The sequence below is a fragment of the Homo sapiens genome, chromosome 9 (assembly GCF_000001405.40).
Source record: "Homo sapiens chromosome 9, GRCh38.p14 Primary Assembly".
Taxonomy (NCBI): Eukaryota; Metazoa; Chordata; class Mammalia; order Primates; family Hominidae; genus Homo; species Homo sapiens.
This window is the reverse complement of record NC_000009.12, coordinates 21,316,578-21,335,422: the sequence shown is the minus strand read 5'-3', so window position 1 is coordinate 21,335,422 and position 18,845 is coordinate 21,316,578. Positions and strand designations below refer to the sequence as shown.

General features: G+C 37.1%; 1 protein-coding gene, 1 long non-coding RNA gene and 1 pseudogene across 2 annotated transcripts in view, besides 2 other annotated features; 1 reads left to right on the top strand and 2 right to left on the bottom strand.

Annotated features, from left to right (window-relative positions):
* LOC107987053 (uncharacterized) overlaps positions 1–18,845 on the bottom strand; it is a 69,713-nt gene that overhangs the window by 1,879 nt on the left and 48,989 nt on the right. The window lies entirely within an intron of this gene.
* KLHL9 (kelch like family member 9) lies at positions 19–5,758 on the top strand. Its single transcript, NM_018847.4, has one exon. The coding sequence runs from the start codon at positions 564–566 to the stop codon at positions 2,415–2,417; it is 1,854 nt and encodes a 617-aa protein (NP_061335.1). The 5' UTR covers positions 19–563; the 3' UTR covers positions 2,418–5,758.
* Positions 40–349: an enhancer, noted in NCBI's record as "active region_28238". NCBI's record gives its function as "activates an Ori minimal core promoter by ATAC-STARR-seq in GM12878 lymphoblastoid cells {active_cell/tissue: GM12878}" and the evidence as "EXISTENCE:reporter gene assay evidence [ECO:0000049][PMID:35858748]".
* Positions 540–589: an enhancer, noted in NCBI's record as "active region_28237". NCBI's record gives its function as "activates an Ori minimal core promoter by ATAC-STARR-seq in GM12878 lymphoblastoid cells {active_cell/tissue: GM12878}" and the evidence as "EXISTENCE:reporter gene assay evidence [ECO:0000049][PMID:35858748]".
* On the bottom strand, positions 13,596–14,123 carry IFNA20P (interferon alpha 20, pseudogene; annotated as a pseudogene).

Below are 18,845 nucleotides of genomic sequence, written 5' to 3'. Positions count from 1 at the left end.
AGGCCGCTCCCACCCCGTGGTATCCTGGGACTAGGCTTTTCCGGAAGGAGCGGCTCGGTGTTGGGGCTAGGCCGGTATTCTAGGCCCAAGCCCAGGCCCAGGCCTGTGTTCCCGGCCCTTGCTCAAAGACAGGCCGGTGGCCGCTGCGACACTCTAGGTACAGCGGAGGGCGCAGCGGGCCGTTCGCTGAGGTGTCCGGACCCGCCGCCGAGCGGGCCGTGGAGCCACAGTACGTGGCGGCGCCTCTTCCTTGCCCGAAGCGGAACTGCTGAAGGAGCGGCAGCGCAGGCCGGACGAGGTGAACCAGGTCATTTAACCGCCTTCAGGTGATGAATCATCTGTCTAATAATCAGATTTGAGGTCCACAGCCCTTTGTGGTCCTGCTACAGGGTGATTTTCAGTGGATGACTGACTGGCGTGGCCCGAGGGGTGCCGCAGTGACTGCCTTCCCTTGATAAGGAAACGAGCTTTCTGTTCTTTCTGGACACCTCGTTACCTGTAAAACATTCCGGTTATAACTTCTTTATCCGGCTTGCATCTCTGTGCAAGAGGAAAGCTTTCACATGAAAGTGTCCCTTGGTAACGGCGAAATGGGCGTCTCTGCCCATTTGCAGCCTTGTAAGGCAGGAACCACACGCTTTTTTACCAGCAATACTCACAGTTCGGTGGTATTGCAAGGCTTTGATCAGCTTAGAATAGAAGGATTGCTTTGTGATGTGACCCTGGTACCAGGTGATGGAGATGAAATCTTCCCTGTTCACAGAGCTATGATGGCGTCTGCTAGTGATTATTTCAAAGCCATGTTCACAGGTGGAATGAAAGAACAAGATTTGATGTGCATTAAGCTTCATGGGGTGAACAAGGTTGGTCTGAAGAAAATCATTGATTTTATTTATACTGCAAAACTTTCTCTTAATATGGACAATCTTCAGGACACACTTGAAGCTGCTAGCTTTTTACAAATATTACCCGTTTTGGATTTCTGTAAAGTATTTCTTATATCAGGAGTCTCTTTGGATAACTGTGTTGAGGTTGGACGAATTGCTAACACCTACAATCTTATAGAAGTGGATAAATATGTTAATAATTTCATCCTGAAGAACTTTCCTGCTTTATTGAGTACTGGGGAGTTTCTAAAACTCCCTTTTGAACGACTTGCATTTGTGCTTTCCAGTAATAGTCTTAAGCACTGTACCGAACTTGAACTCTTTAAGGCAGCCTGTCGCTGGCTAAGGTTGGAAGACCCTCGGATGGATTATGCTGCAAAGTTAATGAAGAATATTCGATTTCCACTGATGACACCACAGGATCTCATCAATTACGTGCAGACAGTAGATTTCATGAGAACAGACAATACCTGCGTGAATTTGCTTTTGGAAGCTAGCAATTACCAAATGATGCCATATATGCAGCCAGTGATGCAGTCAGATAGAACTGCCATTCGATCTGACTCCACTCACTTGGTTACATTAGGAGGAGTTTTGAGGCAGCAGCTGGTTGTCAGTAAAGAATTACGGATGTATGATGAAAGGGCACAAGAATGGAGATCTTTAGCCCCAATGGATGCTCCCCGTTACCAGCATGGTATTGCTGTCATTGGAAACTTTCTTTATGTAGTTGGTGGTCAGAGTAATTATGATACAAAAGGAAAAACTGCTGTTGATACAGTTTTCAGATTTGATCCTCGGTATAATAAATGGATGCAGGTTGCATCATTAAATGAAAAGCGCACATTCTTTCACTTGAGTGCCCTCAAAGGACATTTGTATGCAGTTGGTGGGCGCAGTGCAGCTGGTGAACTGGCCACAGTAGAATGTTACAACCCAAGAATGAATGAGTGGAGCTATGTTGCAAAAATGAGTGAACCCCACTATGGTCATGCTGGAACAGTATATGGAGGCTTAATGTATATTTCAGGAGGAATTACCCATGACACTTTCCAAAATGAGCTCATGTGTTTTGACCCAGATACAGATAAATGGATGCAAAAGGCTCCAATGACTACAGTCAGAGGTCTGCATTGCATGTGTACAGTTGGAGATAAGCTCTATGTCATTGGTGGCAATCACTTCAGAGGAACAAGTGATTATGATGATGTTCTAAGCTGTGAATACTATTCACCAACCCTTGACCAGTGGACCCCAATTGCCGCCATGTTAAGAGGCCAAAGTGATGTTGGAGTTGCCGTCTTTGAAAATAAAATCTATGTTGTTGGTGGATATTCTTGGAATAATCGTTGTATGGTAGAAATTGTCCAGAAATATGACCCAGAAAAAGATGAGTGGCATAAAGTTTTTGATCTTCCAGAGTCACTTGGTGGCATTCGAGCCTGTACACTCACAGTTTTTCCACCTGAAGAAAACCCTGGGTCACCTTCTAGAGAATCACCTCTTTCAGCACCTTCAGATCATTCTTAGGTCTAAGGTGTAACACCTTTGCAGTACGTCATGGGTGATCTAATACTTCCCCTTCAGTTGTATCTTCTTACAGTGATTGGTACAGTTATTAGATATAAAGGTAACTGATGTTATTCGTCTTGTATGGCTTTTAGTATGTTTATCAAGTGGCTAACAAATGCATTCTGAAAATGTATTTAACATAGCTGTTTTAACAAATGAAAAAAAGACGTAGAAAAATGTTTAGATGTCTTTTTGTGATGTTATATAAAATTGTAGATGACTGTGGTAAATGTGTAATTATGTCCATTATGCTTCAAAGTTGAGTTTTCATCTTTGACTCCAAAATGTCAGAGGGAGGCCGCTCTAAACTAAAAATAACGAAAGGTTGCCAAGTATTAATACTAGTTACCTCCCTCTTTTCGTAGTTTTTGTCATGTCTGTCAACTTACTCGATTGTGTGGTTGCATTCAGAATATTTGAAGTTTCTTACGTAGACAGAAATAATAAAAATATTAACTAGGAAAAAACAGTATAGCACCAAGCCAGTATTTGGTATCTCTCTCTAGAGCGAGCAAGAGAGGGAGAGAGGAGGAAAAAATACACATAATACAAACATACATGCATGCACACATACATACATATGTATACACACACATAATTTGAAAACTGATTGGCACTTCAACGATGCTGAAATTGTTTTTAAATTGAAGTTTCTTTCTTCCACAAAGCAGCCGTTTCTATTCAAATGGAAATTCAGTACCAGAGAATAAATGTCTATGTAGTCATACTGAATTTAGATAGATAAGGGCTACAGCATACTAAATCGACAACCAAATTTGTCATGTGACTAAACCGTTACTTCAGATGAAGCTTACATTACTGTTTTCTGCTTGTGTATTTTCTGTAGAGTACTTTTACACAGATTGGTAAAGTTCAGGTTTCAGAGAACTGCTTTTGTGCAGAAAATTTAGGTTCTTTTTTCCACCTTTTTGGTCAGTAAAACTTAATGAAAAAAGCAAAGAAAAAAATATTCTGAACAAAGCTATAGGGTTTTAAGTTCAGCCTCCCAACTTAGTCATCCTAACATGATTATTTTGTGATTTGGGGTGCTTGCCCTGGTGCTGTTCCAGTCCATGTGCATCCTGAGCTGTGTGATCTGCCTCGAGGCTATGATCTGAGCAAGCAGGAGATAACATTTTCTTCTGCATCAAGTGAGGAAAAATGTGCTTTTGGCCATGTCTCAAAGACAGGACCAACTTCAGATTCCCAAAGAAGCCAGCTACAGAGCCTCTGGAACACTATGGTCTTACAAGCAGTACTAAAATCAACCCTCAGCCTCTTCAATGCCAAAGGTATCCCTATTGGTTGAGAACCACATGGTAATTTTTAATGGGACTTTTATCAGCAAATGGAGTTACAGGAATTCTCTGTAATGAGTGATTCTGAAGAGGTACTTTCCTGGAATAATTGTCTACCTGAAGAAAAAAAATTTATATATACATTGTGTGTGTGTGTAATACACACACACAACCCCCTATACCTGGAAGATTGTCAGCATGTAAATCAGGAACAACTTTCTCCTTATTGACAATCCCATAATAAAACTCAGGAACCAAGGCAAAATGAATTGGCTTCTAGGGGTCTGAACCTTACTGCCCATACAAGTGTTGATTCATTTTAATGCTGTTTATGATTTCTGCATTGGCAGAAATTTTCATACTTTCTATGTTTTTTTAATTACTCAGTTTTTTATTACTAAAAATAGCACATTTGAGTACATTTGAAAAGTAGAAAAATTAGAAATTATTAACTTTATTGAATAAGCAAGAAGTGCATCCTAATCCTTTGATTATTAATGAGGTTGAATATTTGTGTGCTATCGGTAGCTGTGTTTCTTTGATCAGATGTTCCTGTCCTTTTGCCCTTCTGTTATCTGTTGGAGTTGCTTTGTTTTTCGTATCAAGTTATAGGATCTCTTTATATAATAAATGTAATTTAACTTGCATTTGCTTGCATTTATTTCTTCCCTCAATCTGTTGTAGTTTTACAAAGGCAACGCTGTTCAGTTAATTTTTGAGATCAAATTTGTCTTTTTTTTTTTTTGAGACAGGGTCTCACTGTTGTGCAGTCTGGAGTGCAATGGCACGATGTGTGCTCACTGAAACCTCTGCCTCTCATGTTCAGGCGATTCTCCCACCTCAGCCTCCCGATTAGCTGGGATTACAGGCATGTACCACCAAGCCCGGCTAATTTTGTATTTTTAGTAGAGATGGGGTTAGGGGATAATTTTGATATGGTTTATTTTTTATGTAGTATTTCAGTGCTTATTCTGACATATCAAGGTGATACTGCCCTGCCTCTATTTTGTACAGGCTTTTCCTTTTATTGAAAAAAAGTACTTTTTATTACATCTTATGTCTGAACCTGGTGCTTCCTATTGAAATAAGTATTGCTTTACTAGGTAAACTGCTCTATCTACATCCCCCACCTCCAGCTTCACCCACCCTGCCTCTCATTTTTTTACTTTCCCGTATTCTGCAGTTGACAGTTCTCTTGGTAATCATACAGGTAGCTGACTAATGCTATGCTAATACAGGTTGAGCAGCCCTAATCCAAAAATCCAAATTGCTCCAAAATTTAAAACTTTTTGAGGGCCAACAGGATGCCACAAGTAGAAAATTCCACACCAGAGCTCATGTGACAGGTTACACTCAAAACACAGTGAAGACTTGTTTCATGCACAACATTATTAAGACTATTATAATTACCTTCAGACTACGTGTCTGAAACGTGAAATATAACCGAAGTTTTAAGTAATATTGTTTAGACTTGGGTCCCTCCCCCAGGATACGTCATGTACATGCAAATATTCCAAAATCCAAAACACTTCTGGTCCCAAGCATTTCAGATAAGGGATATTCAATCTGTACTGCTCATTAAACCTGGAGTTTCTTATAGAGAGAAATTTTAGGTGGTTGAAATGATTAAATGGAAAGAGATTTATTTTCATAAGCTGGTAATTTTTTAAAGAAAGTTCAGACTGGAAAAATATTTAGAGGATAAAAACTAAAAGCACATAAAGCATTATGTTAACATTTCTTGTTTTAGTTTTTCGGAAAGTATTCAAAAATTAACATTTGTTAGCTTTTTTGATATGTCTATTATAGAACGTACAGGAAAATAAAAGCAAACTAATTTATCAGTGATTCCACATGTTGAAGATAATTTCTATTAATAGTATATTATATATATATATATACGTACATATGTGCAGGCATTTGTCAAATATTTTTCAAGTATGCCAGACCTTAGGCTAAAAGCTGGATAATGAAAATAAATCCACCTTCCAAAGACTCCTATTATCATGACTTTCTCTTATTTTTTAAAAAGCTGTATATATTAAAAAATCATAAGGTGTTTTTTTCTAATTATCAAATGCACATGTATTTAGAAAAACAGATTCCATTTTTATTCAGATAAATCCAGACTTAAATTTCTTTCCCACTTGCTTACAGTAATATTTATGTAGTTGGCCTGCAAAGCAAACACATTTCACTCATGTTCAGATTTTTGTAATCAAAATTATTTTGTTCTCACTATAAAGGCAGTAAGCTCCTACAGGACATTTTAAAACTACATAAATGTGCCATCCCCAGCTCAACCGATTATAAACAACTGCCGAAAGATTGTGGGGTAAGTTTAACTCTCTAAAACTTCAGCTTTGTCATACATCTATCAGGTTGGGTGTGATCATTAATAATTCTATTTATATCAGATTTGTAAGGAAATAATATAAAGCGATTAGCATAAGATATGCACAAAAGCAGTGAATGATAGTTGTTACTAACAAAGTTGGGATTTTATAATTTTTGACTTTTGCTTCAGCTTAATGATTTTCAGGCTATTGTTCTTTGAAAGTGTTCAGCGTCTATACAATATTTCATTCCATGAACATGCCAAATTATTCCATTTCCTTATGTGTAGATATTTAAATGTCTACCATAAATTTTCACCATAATAAAGCAAGATGTAATATTCTTACATAAAACTTTGCCCATAGCTACTACCCTATGATAAATGCTAAGTAAAATCGGAATCATGTAGTGTTAGCTTTTTTAGGGTCTTAAAAAATATTTCCAGGATTATACCATATGCATTTTTAGCAGAACTGTGTTCAGTAACTATTTCAAAGGAAATCTTTGCAGTTCTAGTTATTTCACTGTTTGGATTTACATATCTTTAATTACTAGTTATAATTTCTTGTTTATTGAGCATGTGTATTTTTCATAAATCATTTGCTCCTGTCTTTTGCTTTAATTGTCCTATTTGCTATAAATACTTTTTTATACTCTACTTTTTTATTCAATTTAATATGATCAAGTATGTTCGTCTTTTTTGTATGTTGACCTTTCGGTGATATTTTTGTTTTTTTTAATTTGGGGTGTGTGTGTGTGTGGTGGTGGTGGTGGTTGTTATATAGTACTGATGTGGTATTACTTGTTCTTGATACTATAGCTCTATAGCTTTGTGATTACTAGTTCTTGACATGTTAGGGTGGCATTTACTGCTTGTCTCCTGTTCAAGTAGCTTTTCTTTCTAGTTAAAATGAGAATGAGATTTTCCTTAAAATTAATAAACTTACCTTTTTATATTGAGATTAATCATTCATTTTTTTTTGAGATGGGGTCTCGCTATGTTGACCAGGCTGTTCTTGAACTCCTGGTCTCCAGTGATCCTCCTATTTCAGCCTCCCAAAGGGCTAGAATTACAGGTGTGAGCCACTGCAACTGGCTATATTAAGATTAATCTTTATTCTCTATTTACAGCAAGTATTTGCCCACTTGTGTTCTGTGAGCAAAGAAATCAAGTGTTTTTCCTTTGTAACGTAGCACAATTAGTTTTTTTGTCATTTTAATGCTTTCTTGAATAATTTTTTTATCATTAGGTGGCATAATTATCCCAGTATTTTATGTTGTTATTATTGATACAACTTTCTACCAAACTTTTGGCATAAAATCTAATGTATTTTTCAAATTACCTAATTTTTCCATAACCACTTTTTGAATATCTTCATTTCCTTGCTGAATTTTTATGCTTTAAAAAAAATCATAAAATCTTATAGTCAATCAATTTAGAGTATTTTTCTTCACTTCCAATGATCTTTTTTCAAGTTAAGTTGTCTTTGATATATACGTGTGTGTGTGTGTGTGTTTGTGTATTTCTGCTTTGAATGGGATTTCGTTATGTTATATTCTGAACTCTTGGTAGAAGTAGGAAATATGTGGTTTTAGCATAATGGTTTTCTGTCTACCGACTCTCATTGATTCTTCAGTTTTTTGGGTCAATTCTCATATTTTCACCTTAACTAACCATTATCTGCATATTATAAAAGCCAATTTCATATTATTAGTTTAATGTGAAACATTAAAGCATGGTTCATACTTCCAGCAAAATTATAGTAGTGACCGAGGAATTGTGTCTTATGCGTAATTTTAATAGGGGTAATTCTAGTTTTAGGATTCCTTTGTTACAAGGAAATATCCTTGATCTTGTTCACGAAGTTCCTCATTAATTAGGAGTCTTAAAAAATTAGGGTTGTGTATCTTCATTACAAATGATTTCTGTACCAGCTGATCCAAATTTTTCTTAGTACCATCCATGGGCTGAAAGAAAGGCTATTTCTTCGCTGTGTGATCAGTGTGTCATTAACTACCCATTTCTTCATTTATTTAGTCAAATTTATTGAGATGATAATTTAATTTTTCTCATGTCAAATACTGAAAAAGAGTCTGTTTTTTAATTGTTTTCAACTGTTGGGTTAGAAAGGACTCTTACATATTGCTGAGTGCATTGTCAATTGGTTTACAGTTTAGAATGCAATTTGGCAAAAGTAGTAAAATGATCTTTCAAGTTTCATACCTTTTGGACAGTAAGTATATTTCTAGAATTAATAAGTGACAGAAAATAGGCCAGAAATAGTCATCTCAGCATGATACTATTATTTGCTTCCTAATAGGACCACATTAGACCTTCCATTAAAATACTTTTAAATGGATTTTTAAAGATTCTTCCCACCTTAATTTTGATACTTTATCTGCATCCTCTAGTATTCAATTGTTGAGCATATATTTGAATGGCTGGATGATGATTAGAATAAAAGACTTAGATATTCATTAAGGATGACTGAACACATAACTGTTGAATTGTGTACCTGAGCCAAATGCACTAGTACACAGAATAGGTCGTTCCTCTGTAACAGTCTCAGAGCAACTGCTTTCCAGGGGCTAATGTTATTCTGCCATCTACTGGTTAAAATTAAAAGTCTTTGTTTAGCTAGATTACAGAAAATATATCTCCTTTATCAAAACAACAGTAATAACAAAACCCAGAAATTTTTATAGCACATGTGAAAGTTCAAAGTTGGCAGCTTATATAAATTACATAAGTGAATATTAAAAACTTTTGGTAATTTTTGGGGTACGGTAGATCAAAGAGAAGAATTATTTTTTATATTACTTAAAAATACAGATTTAAATAGCTATGACCTTTATTTTATTTATAAATTCATATACATTTAATTTTAAAATCTGCAACATTTCATCTGGATTCTAAGCATTCATACCCAATACTTGCTTTTTCCTTTGAGTGGATTCCCCATACCATTTTTATTTTTAGTTTTTAGCAGACAGCCTCATCACAAAGACATGTATAGAGTAAATCTTTTCCACAGCAGAAAGGACGTAATATGCATTATATCTGGTTATAAGTAAATATGACAACCTCATAATATTTAAGAAATTTTTATATTGGTTTGCTCATTTGGGTATGAGGATCAAATCATGACTGCTATAGCCACATAATTTTCACCCGGCCAGCCAGACACACATATGCATAAGCATATACATGTGTTTGATGTAAAACAGCTTTTGGACCAGCTGATCCAGATTTTTCTTAGTGCCACCCATGGGCTCAAAGAAAGTCTATTTCTTGACTATGTGAACAGTAAGAATGGCATCAACTACCCATTTCCTCATTCTCCATGTTATTGTCTCAGAACAAAATATTCTCTTACACCAAGCATTTTTTCCCTCAAGATGGATGTGTATAACAACAAGTGATCTCTTAATAGTGCCTCCTGAAGGATATCAAGAGTGCACATATCTTTTCTACATAGAACTGAAGGAGCAAGATTAGATTTCGTGCAATCTTAGAACAAGATGTGTATAAAGCTGTTGACAGCAACTAAGTAACCCAAACTTCAGAAGTTTCGTTGTCTAGAGCCCCTTCTCCAATTGTAAGTCCAAAGAGTATGTCTAGCTCTTTACTGGTCCATCTTCCAAAAGACTATTACAATACAGCCTTACAATCTCTTATAATGGAAGTTTATCATTTTTTGCCTCATTTCACCCAAGTGCCAGTCAACAGAGTACATGTTTGTATGTGGTGGGGATGGGAGGCAGGTCTAACTTCTACTGATTCAAACAGCTTTATCTTACTTAGGGAGTATACTTTATCACTTAGAAGTCAAAACATTCTTCCAGCCAGGAATTAGTGATCCATTAAAACTTATTTCTAATTCATGTCAAATCATGAACCAAAACATACTCAGTATAAAAACCTAATGTGAGTCAGTGTAATGTTTATTTCTTCATACTAAGCAGTGTTTACTTCAATTTTTTATTACTCTCTCCATCTTTCTCCAGATAAGAAAATCACAGATTTCACAAAACCTTTCATATATGTATATACACATACTTGAAGACATCAATTAACTCAAAGATTAAGGAAAAAGAGTTTTTGTTTTGATTTTGTTTTTTGTTGTTGTTGTTATTGTTTGTTTTTTGAGATAGAGTTTCACTCTTGTCACCCAGGCTGGAGTGTAGTGGTGTGATCCTGGCTCACTGCAATCTCCGCCTCCCCAGTTCAAGCGATTCTCCTGCCTCAGCCTCCGGAGTAACTGGCATTACAGGCGCCTGCCACCACCCCTGGCTAATTTTTGTATTTTTAGTAGAGACGGAGTTTCACCATGTTAGCCAGGCTGGTCTCGAACTCCTGACCTCAGATGATCCGCCTGCCTGGGCCTCCCAAAAGTGCTGGGATTACAGGCGTGAGCCACCGCCCCCAGCCAGAAAAACAATTTTTAATTTTCAAGGCTGGCTCTCCATTAATAATCTCTCCCATGCCCTGGACTAGCTATACTTTATCCTGCAAGGGGAATAAGTTATGGATTCCATTGGTATGTCTACTTTGTTCACTTCTTGGGCTGCAATATCTACACTTCCCATTCACCCTTACCACTTACTTAGTAGATAGTCTAGCCACTTGCAAGAGGTTCATGGCTACCATTTGGGAATGCCTATAGGAGATCAAGGAGATCCATTGAAACTCAGCCCCCAAATCCAAAGTCACTTTCCTTTTGATATCTGTAGTTTCATCATCTGTCATAACCATGCCTACTTATCATCTGTAAAACACCCTTTCTACATTAAGGGATACTCACATTATGAATTCTAGTTGTGGTTGTTTTAAAATATATTCACAAATTTTCTCATGCTCGTTTCTTTCCTCCTTTTGACTATGTGTTGGATTTAGTGATTCCCATCTAATGAATACAATGAAACAATGGTGTTTAAATTATAGACTAGGTCATAAAAAATTGTGTACTTCCTCCATGTTTATCTCTCTTCTATCACTTCCTCTAGTACAAGCCAGCTGCCATGTTGTGAGCACATACCACATAGCTCCATGGAGATGCCCATGTGACTGTGATGAAGAGCTAAGACTTCCTGTCAGTGGCCGTGTGAGTGACCCATGTTAGAAACAGATCCGCCAGCCCAAACAGAACCTTCAGACAACTGCAGCCCCAGCTGGCATCTTGACTGCAACTCATGAGCGATTCTAAGCCCACCGAAGCTGCTCTTGAATTATTGATTCACAAAAACTTTTAGGTAATAAATGTGTGTTGTTTTAAACCACTGAGTTTTTGATTAATTATGCATCAATGGAAAACCAGATCACCAATGCAGGCAACATAATGTAAATTTCAAGCCTCCCTTGTAGATAGGACATGGGAACAAAGAAAGACTTGCCGATCTGGAGCACCTGCATGAGCTTTTGATCCTAATGTGTCCACAAGAAGATATAGGCTCTACGTGGTGTTTCTGTATTTATTGGCTGAGTTGGTGGCTTTCTATAGTGGGAAGTTCAGGTTTTAGGAAAAGAAATGGCATTAGAGAATGGAAGTTCCTTCTAGTTCTTACTAGAGCAGCATCATCAACAGTGGGTTTTTATATCTGGACAGTTCTCTGGTTTAATTTTTGATATTTTTATCTGGAGGCTTAGTCTAGAGCTTGTTTCTATGGCATCCCAAAAATTCAGCAGGCACCACATCTTAACACCTCTGTTTAGTCATCAGTCTTACATTCAGCTTTACTCTTTACTACAACGTAATAAATACCTTCCAAACCTATTACCTATCTCGTTGGGTACAATAACTATGTCCTAATGGGTCCACTTCCCACCTTTCTAACCAGTATGTGCAAGCAAATCCCAACCTAGTTTTCAAAGGGCAGCTGTAAGAGCTTTTCTAATATGTATTTGGTGACATCAATTCACTGCTTAAAACATCTCAATATTTCTAATGATCATTTCTGTGACTCATAATCCCATAATTGCTTGCAATGCCTTTTACAATACAACACCTGCTTCCTATTCTAACTTCTGCTTTCTCCCTCCCTCCCTTCTACTTCTACATAGTTCTAAACCTTCTTCACTGTTTGCTCCTGCATGCGCCCTCTGGCCGCTACGCATTCACATCTGCTGTTCCCTGTTTCTGACCCTTTGAGCATCACACATTTACTTGGTTAACTCCCACAGATCCTTGAGATGCCAGCTTAGCAGTTACTTCTCCTGGATGCTTTCCCTGACGGAAACAAGTGCTACACGCTTCCAGAATCTGATACTTTCCCTGTCACAGTCATTAGCATTACTTTAATTAAATGCTCACTTGCCCACATCCCACCAGACTGGAAGCTCTGTCATTCCCTGAAAGCAGAGAATGTGTCTACTTTCTTTCATTGTAACTAGCACCATCCACAGAGCCAGCAAATAAAAGGTATTTGCTACTTATTTGAAGTTTCAAGGTGGATGATTCCGTATTTCACTTTAGTTTCTAGTTCATGCAACTGCTGAAACTGAATCAACGGTCATCAGATATGACTTATCTAAGAAACATAAGTAAAACTGAATTCACTTCAGCTGGTATAATCTATGTGAATTGTTCATCTCCTTCATGGCCCTAGGATTCCTACCTACCTACTTATTGTTTAGAGCTGTCTTCTCAGGAAGAGTGCTCCACTGAAGAAAATAAAGTCTTTATTTAACTTACCAATATTTTCACAGTGACAAGTAAATTGCCTGGAGCAGAGATATTTAAAACGATTTATGAATAAATAGACTTAATGTTCCTTTTGGATTTGAAAGCAGATTAAAGGTTTAAGGGCACTTTGTATCTCTTTGAGGGTTTGAGTAAGACCTGACTTTTACTGTAAAGATTTAAGTACCCGCTCCATCCTCACCAAACAATAGAAACCAGAAGGCAAAGCTGACCATATTTATAAACAATAAATTTTGAAAATATAGCAATTATCATTGGATAAATTTTAATTATTACAAGCTAAAAATGTAATTTCTCCCTATTCAAAAGTACAATTTTGCCAGGTGCAGTGACTCATGCCTGCAACCCCAGCATTTGGGAAGCTAAGGTGAGTGGATAACTTGAGGTCAGGAGTTCGAGACCAGCCTGGCCAACATGGCAAAAATCCATCTCTACTGAAAATACAAAAATTAGCTGGGCATGGTGGTGCATGCCTGTAATCCCAGCTACTTGGGAGGCTGAGGCATGAGAATCGCTTGAACCCGGGAGGCGGAGTTTGCAGTGAACAGAGATTCTGCCACTGCACTCCAGCCTGGGTGACAGAGTGAGACTCTGTCAAAGACAAACAAACAAAAAAGTACAATTTCTTATTATTGAAACACAGTCTTACAAAAATGACTCAATATATCGATAAATGAAGCAGAAAGGAAAGTCTTTGAATTGAATGAATATTTACAAGCTCGAAGCCACATAATTAGTAGATGAGACCCAATTGACTGATACTGGGTCTAAATCTAAGTTTCCTTTCCAACCTCCTGGGATTTCCGATGAGCCTATTAACACAGAGAAAGCATTTATTGATTTTCCTTTCTTAATCTGCAGTCTGACAATGTCCCAGGCACAACAGATGTGTTCTTTCTTTCTCACATAGAGACTGATTGCTTGTGAATACTCCTTCACAGCCAGGCTGGAGTCCTCCTACTCAAGGTCTCTTTGATTTCCTATACCCAAACAGGTCTCCAGAAATTCTAGCTACTGATCAAGCCCAGTGAGGAATTTCAGTTCTTTGTGCTGAAAACGTTGGAGATCTGCTGGATCATCTCATGAAGAACATTGGTGGCCTGAGCCTTTTGGAATTTGGTGCCATGCGGCTGCTCTAGGGGAAACTTAAAAAACATTCTTGTTCTTCAGACAGGAAGAAAAGAAAGATTCTCCCAATTTGGTGCAGAACTTTGAAGGTCACCTATTTATGGCAGCCCATGGCTCTGGGCTAGGCCACAGCTAAAGCTGCAGAGAGAACTGCAGAATATCATCCTCAGTGTCACTAGGGAAGAGGTTGGCCGGGTCATTGGTGGGATACAGCTGGCTAGGCCATTTGAGTCTTTACCCACCTGTCTCAGCACTTTCTTGTTGTGAGATTCTTACATAACCAGATTAGGGTTTTCAGTTTTTGTACTTATCTCAACTTTATTTCTACTTTGTTCACTTTCTCTTCTATTTATGGGTCTCAGATAATGTCATGACCTCAACACTTCTTTTGTATTATGACAATGGAAATTAAACACACTCAGAAAATGGCAAAACTCTCAATCTAATAGGAAATACCCATCCAAATGAGGCTCAATGTTGAAATAACAACCTATCTGAGTCTCAATCTATGTCTCTTTTAAAATTCTAATAAGTATACTTAGAGGTTTGATCTTGGACATTTTTACTTCTTAAACTGCACTGAAATACATGTTTCCTCACCTCTCTGCATTTCTCTTTTAAGTGGCTAATACACTAGGTTTGATTTCTTCCACCTTTCTTTACAAGAGCCACAGCTTATAATCTGTAGATAACGGTGGCATAAAACTCGAAAACCCAGGGTTAAGTCATCCAGTTGTCTTTGTTCTGTCACTAAAAATGTCTTTACTGCATATATGTGACAGACAATAGGCTTGGCAATTTAGATTAACAGATAAGTAATACAGGATGATGACTACCCTCCATGGATTCAAAGAATGGCATTTAAGACATGATTGTGATTAATTAAACACTAGCATGCTCAGTGCAGCCAAGAGGAAGAACTGAAAGCTAATGAAGAGGGAAATTGGGAGGCAGTAGAAACTGCCACTTTGTGACAACATCTGTGGCTCCTGGGAGCTTAAACAACATCAGATTTTCCTTTCCTCTTCTGCAAAATTGAGACAATTTTAATAGTTGTCACATAGGAAACTGCAAAGATGAAATAAAATAAAGTTTGCAAATTACTGGCTGAGAATCTGAACATGGTAAATGATAGTTACCTTTAATTTCAATGTAATAAATAACATAATCCTGTATAGTCCACATTTAACCAAATCCAGACAAGAGAAGCTTTGATTGCAGCTCCCCTGACATTCCTGAGGTCTAACACGTTGATGTCCCTCAAATTGAAACTCTAGGAAAGGGGACTGTCTGTAAAACTGTGAAGGAGCAGAGCCCAGGTTCCCATTGTCAGAGTAGTGCCTTGCACAGAGGAAAAATTGTACAGCCCCCATGAAGCTTGTTCCAGGGAACCAGTGTCTCAGCAAGTTGCGATAGAAAATGGCTGCTCTGTGAATAGTATAAATAAATAAAATAATCCCTTTACTCAGATTCAGTTAGTTTCAAATCACCATTGATGATTATTTTTAGGCCCAAGTAAAACATATTTTGTAAACCATTTTCCTAGCCTTTACAACTCTCTAACTCAACCCTAAAAAAAAAAAGGTGATTTGAAACTAACTGAATATAGTATTATATAAAGTTACCTATAGATATATACAGAATATACACTTACATATTTATATATACATATTTAAATACAAATAAATAAGTAAATATTGTAATGTATTTAATAACATACAATATATGTTATATGCTATATTGTATATGTGTATATATAACATATCGTATATATGTTATTCTATATAAAGTATATATTGAAGTATATATATTAAAATATATAAATGTATACATATTTTTACACATTATATTTACATATGGATTTTTAAATGTACAAAAACATATATAAGATATATAAATATATATTCTTTTTTTTTTGACAAAAGTCTCACTCTTTTGTTCAGGCTGGACTGCAGTGCTGCTGTCATACCTCACTACATCCTCGAACTCCTGGGCCCAAGTGATCCTCCCACCTTGGCCTCCCAAATAGCTGAGACTATAGGTGTGCACTACCACACCTGGCTAATTTTTTATTTTTTGGTAGAGATGGTGTCTCCTTCTGTTGACCAGGCTGGTAAATCCTGGCCTCAAGCAATCTTCCTGCCTTGGCCTTCCAAAGTACTGGCATTATAGACCTGAGCCACCACGCCAGGCCTATATATTCTTTATGTATATTTAAATACATATGCTTAAATTATGTATACTTATATATTTAATAATATACAAATTTAATATATTTTAATATGTTAAGTATAATATAATAAGCATATATTAAATTATATGAGATTGTAAAAGTATATAATACTTAAAGCTGTATATACTTAAGTATACATAATTATATTTACACATATTAATTACAAAATACATAATCTAAAAATGTAATGTATATTAATATAAGTATATAAACTTATTTTATGTTACATAAAATTTAAGTATATACAAGCATATATATACATATATATATTTCTGGAGGGAGGGGGATTGGAAATGGGACTACCTTGATTTTCAGCCATGGAAAAATCACAATACTTTGCTGATTCTGATGGCTGCCACACTCTCCCTTCCCCCCTACTTACTGGAGGATCCCATTCTTTCATTTCTGTATGACATTAGTTTCCTCCCTCCCCAGCGTAGAAATCCCAGGGTGCTCTCCTCATTCACTCACCATTAACCTGCACTGCCATTCATACAGCTGCTTCCTGTTCCATTGTAATTTCTGGCTGTCAATTTTCCCATAAGAGTACAAAGCCATCAGCTGAAAGCAAAAGTTGAGTGAGAGTTCTAGGTGTTTCAGAAACATCCAAATCACTGGCCTGTTTTTTTTTTTTTTTTTTTTTTTACTTCCCTCCTGGTGAATAGTTTTGGAAAAGAAGGAATATCCCCATTACAATAATGTAACCATCCCTGTGGAAAAAGGAAATAGAATGCAAGATCCATTTTACTCTGGAGGCCGTTGAAATATTTACAGAGGATGAGAGCCACCTACTGGCAAAGACGTGCACCAAGTCTATGGAGGGCAGGCTTTTCTGTTCTGTAAAGAATATGTAACAAACCTGCACGTTGTGCACATGTACCCTAAAACTTAAAGTATGATAATAAGAAAATAAAAATAAAAAAATAAAAAATAAGAAAAAGAATTCTGTTCCCTTGAAGGAGATTTTCGTTCATTTGTAAAAGGCCATCTTTCTCGGAAAGAATTAACCCTAATATTGGAAGAAGCCCATTTTCTTAGCTTTTGTATCACAGAGAGAGAAAACACTCCCAGATTCAGGAAGCACATGTTCTTTGAACAATGGGCAGCTATGTGGAGAGAGAAAGGGTCAGAACGTGTCCCTTGCCTCCAGCCTCTTGACTTGTCCCTCCCTCTATGTTTTGTGCTAGACTGGGAATCAGTACAACCTGCCAATGTAGGTGTAGAACTACAAGGGAAATCAAGAAAAATCTCCTGGTTAAGGTACATTAGCTCTTTCTTAACAGTAAGTTGCTAATTTTACACATTCACTCCTTAGGTCATGTCCCAACTTTATAATTAAAACATTTTCTGTTATTTTCAATGATGAGTCAACTTGCATCCCTTGTGCTTTTTACTCAGTAGTAAAAGAGAGCAAAGACATTTGTAAAGGAATCAGAGGATACAATTCTTGCCAAATGATATCAAGAGAAGGTATCTATTTGTGTAGAATTTGGGAAGTATTAAAGTGATCTGCAAATAGTGTAATTGAAGAAGTTAATCAGGAGTGTGTGTGAGAATTACTTAGATAGTAGGAAGAGGCTTCAATTTAGGAGGAATTTCTTATTCTTTGCTCAGGTTACAGACCCAACCTTCAGATTGCACTTTTCAAATGGGAGAGGAGAGAAACTGGGAAATGGGAGAGGAGAGAAACTGGGAAATTCAGTTATATTTCACAATATGTCTCTTGTCTCTTTCTTTTACCACTGAATGTGGGGTACTCAGTTTAGGAGCAGGGGAAAATATTAAAAAGTTTAATATACCTGGTTCTCTCTCTTCCTTTCTCTGTTTGTATGATTGTTTAACGACTTTCAAATATTAAGTCTCCTTTAATTCTTGGTTATTTTCTATACTGCTTATTTCTTTAATGTGATTTTCCTTTTTGTTGCTTGTCATTTCAGTGGGCAAAAATTGTACGCATATTATCATCTTACCCTGAAAAATCTCTGTGGCTATACCCTGATCATATTCAGAAGTTAATTTTTTATATATTCTAAAGTATTGGAGAACTGAGGTGAAGTGGTGGCTGAGCTGGCAGCAAGGGGCATTGTCATAACCTGCCTCACACAGTTCCCTGCCTGTGCAGTGCCCCTGGAGAAGGACACATAAAACCTTGTTTCTGCCCTGAATCCCTTGGAGGAGATACAGGAAGTCGTGGCACAGTGCCACCTGGAGACAGCTAGGTTTTGTGAGATCAAGGATCCAAAATGAATATGGTCATGCCTGGACTCTCCCTGCCTGGCAAGTTCAGTACTGCAAAGGTTAAGTACTTGAAGTTAAATACTGCTAGGCACAAAAACATAGTCAATAGAGAGAATCTTTCCCACGTGATTATACCCAACGTGTTGGTAAAGAATGCAGAAGTTCATCTGTGCCCCTGTTCAGGTGCTTCTATGTTCTGATTCCTCTAGGAAGAGACTACACTAGGCTCAGGACTCTCATTTGTTGAAAAAAGCAGAGCCCACATTATGAAACATGAAGAAGAAAAGGCAAGCAGCAGCTTTAGAACTTGGAAGGAAGAGAGAGATACTTAACACATTGACTGGAAGAGCGGCAGGTCCTCAGGAGATGGAGCAATACAAATGGGAGCACTGAATCAACTACTTAAGATTATTCTGATCAGAGAGAAGATTAAAGTGGATGCTGAAACCAC

Excerpts from the sequence above, each read along its gene's own strand:
- KLHL9 (NM_018847.4), top strand. The coding sequence starts at position 564 with ATGAAAGTGTCCCTTGGTAACGGCGAAATGGGCGTCTCTGCCCATTTG.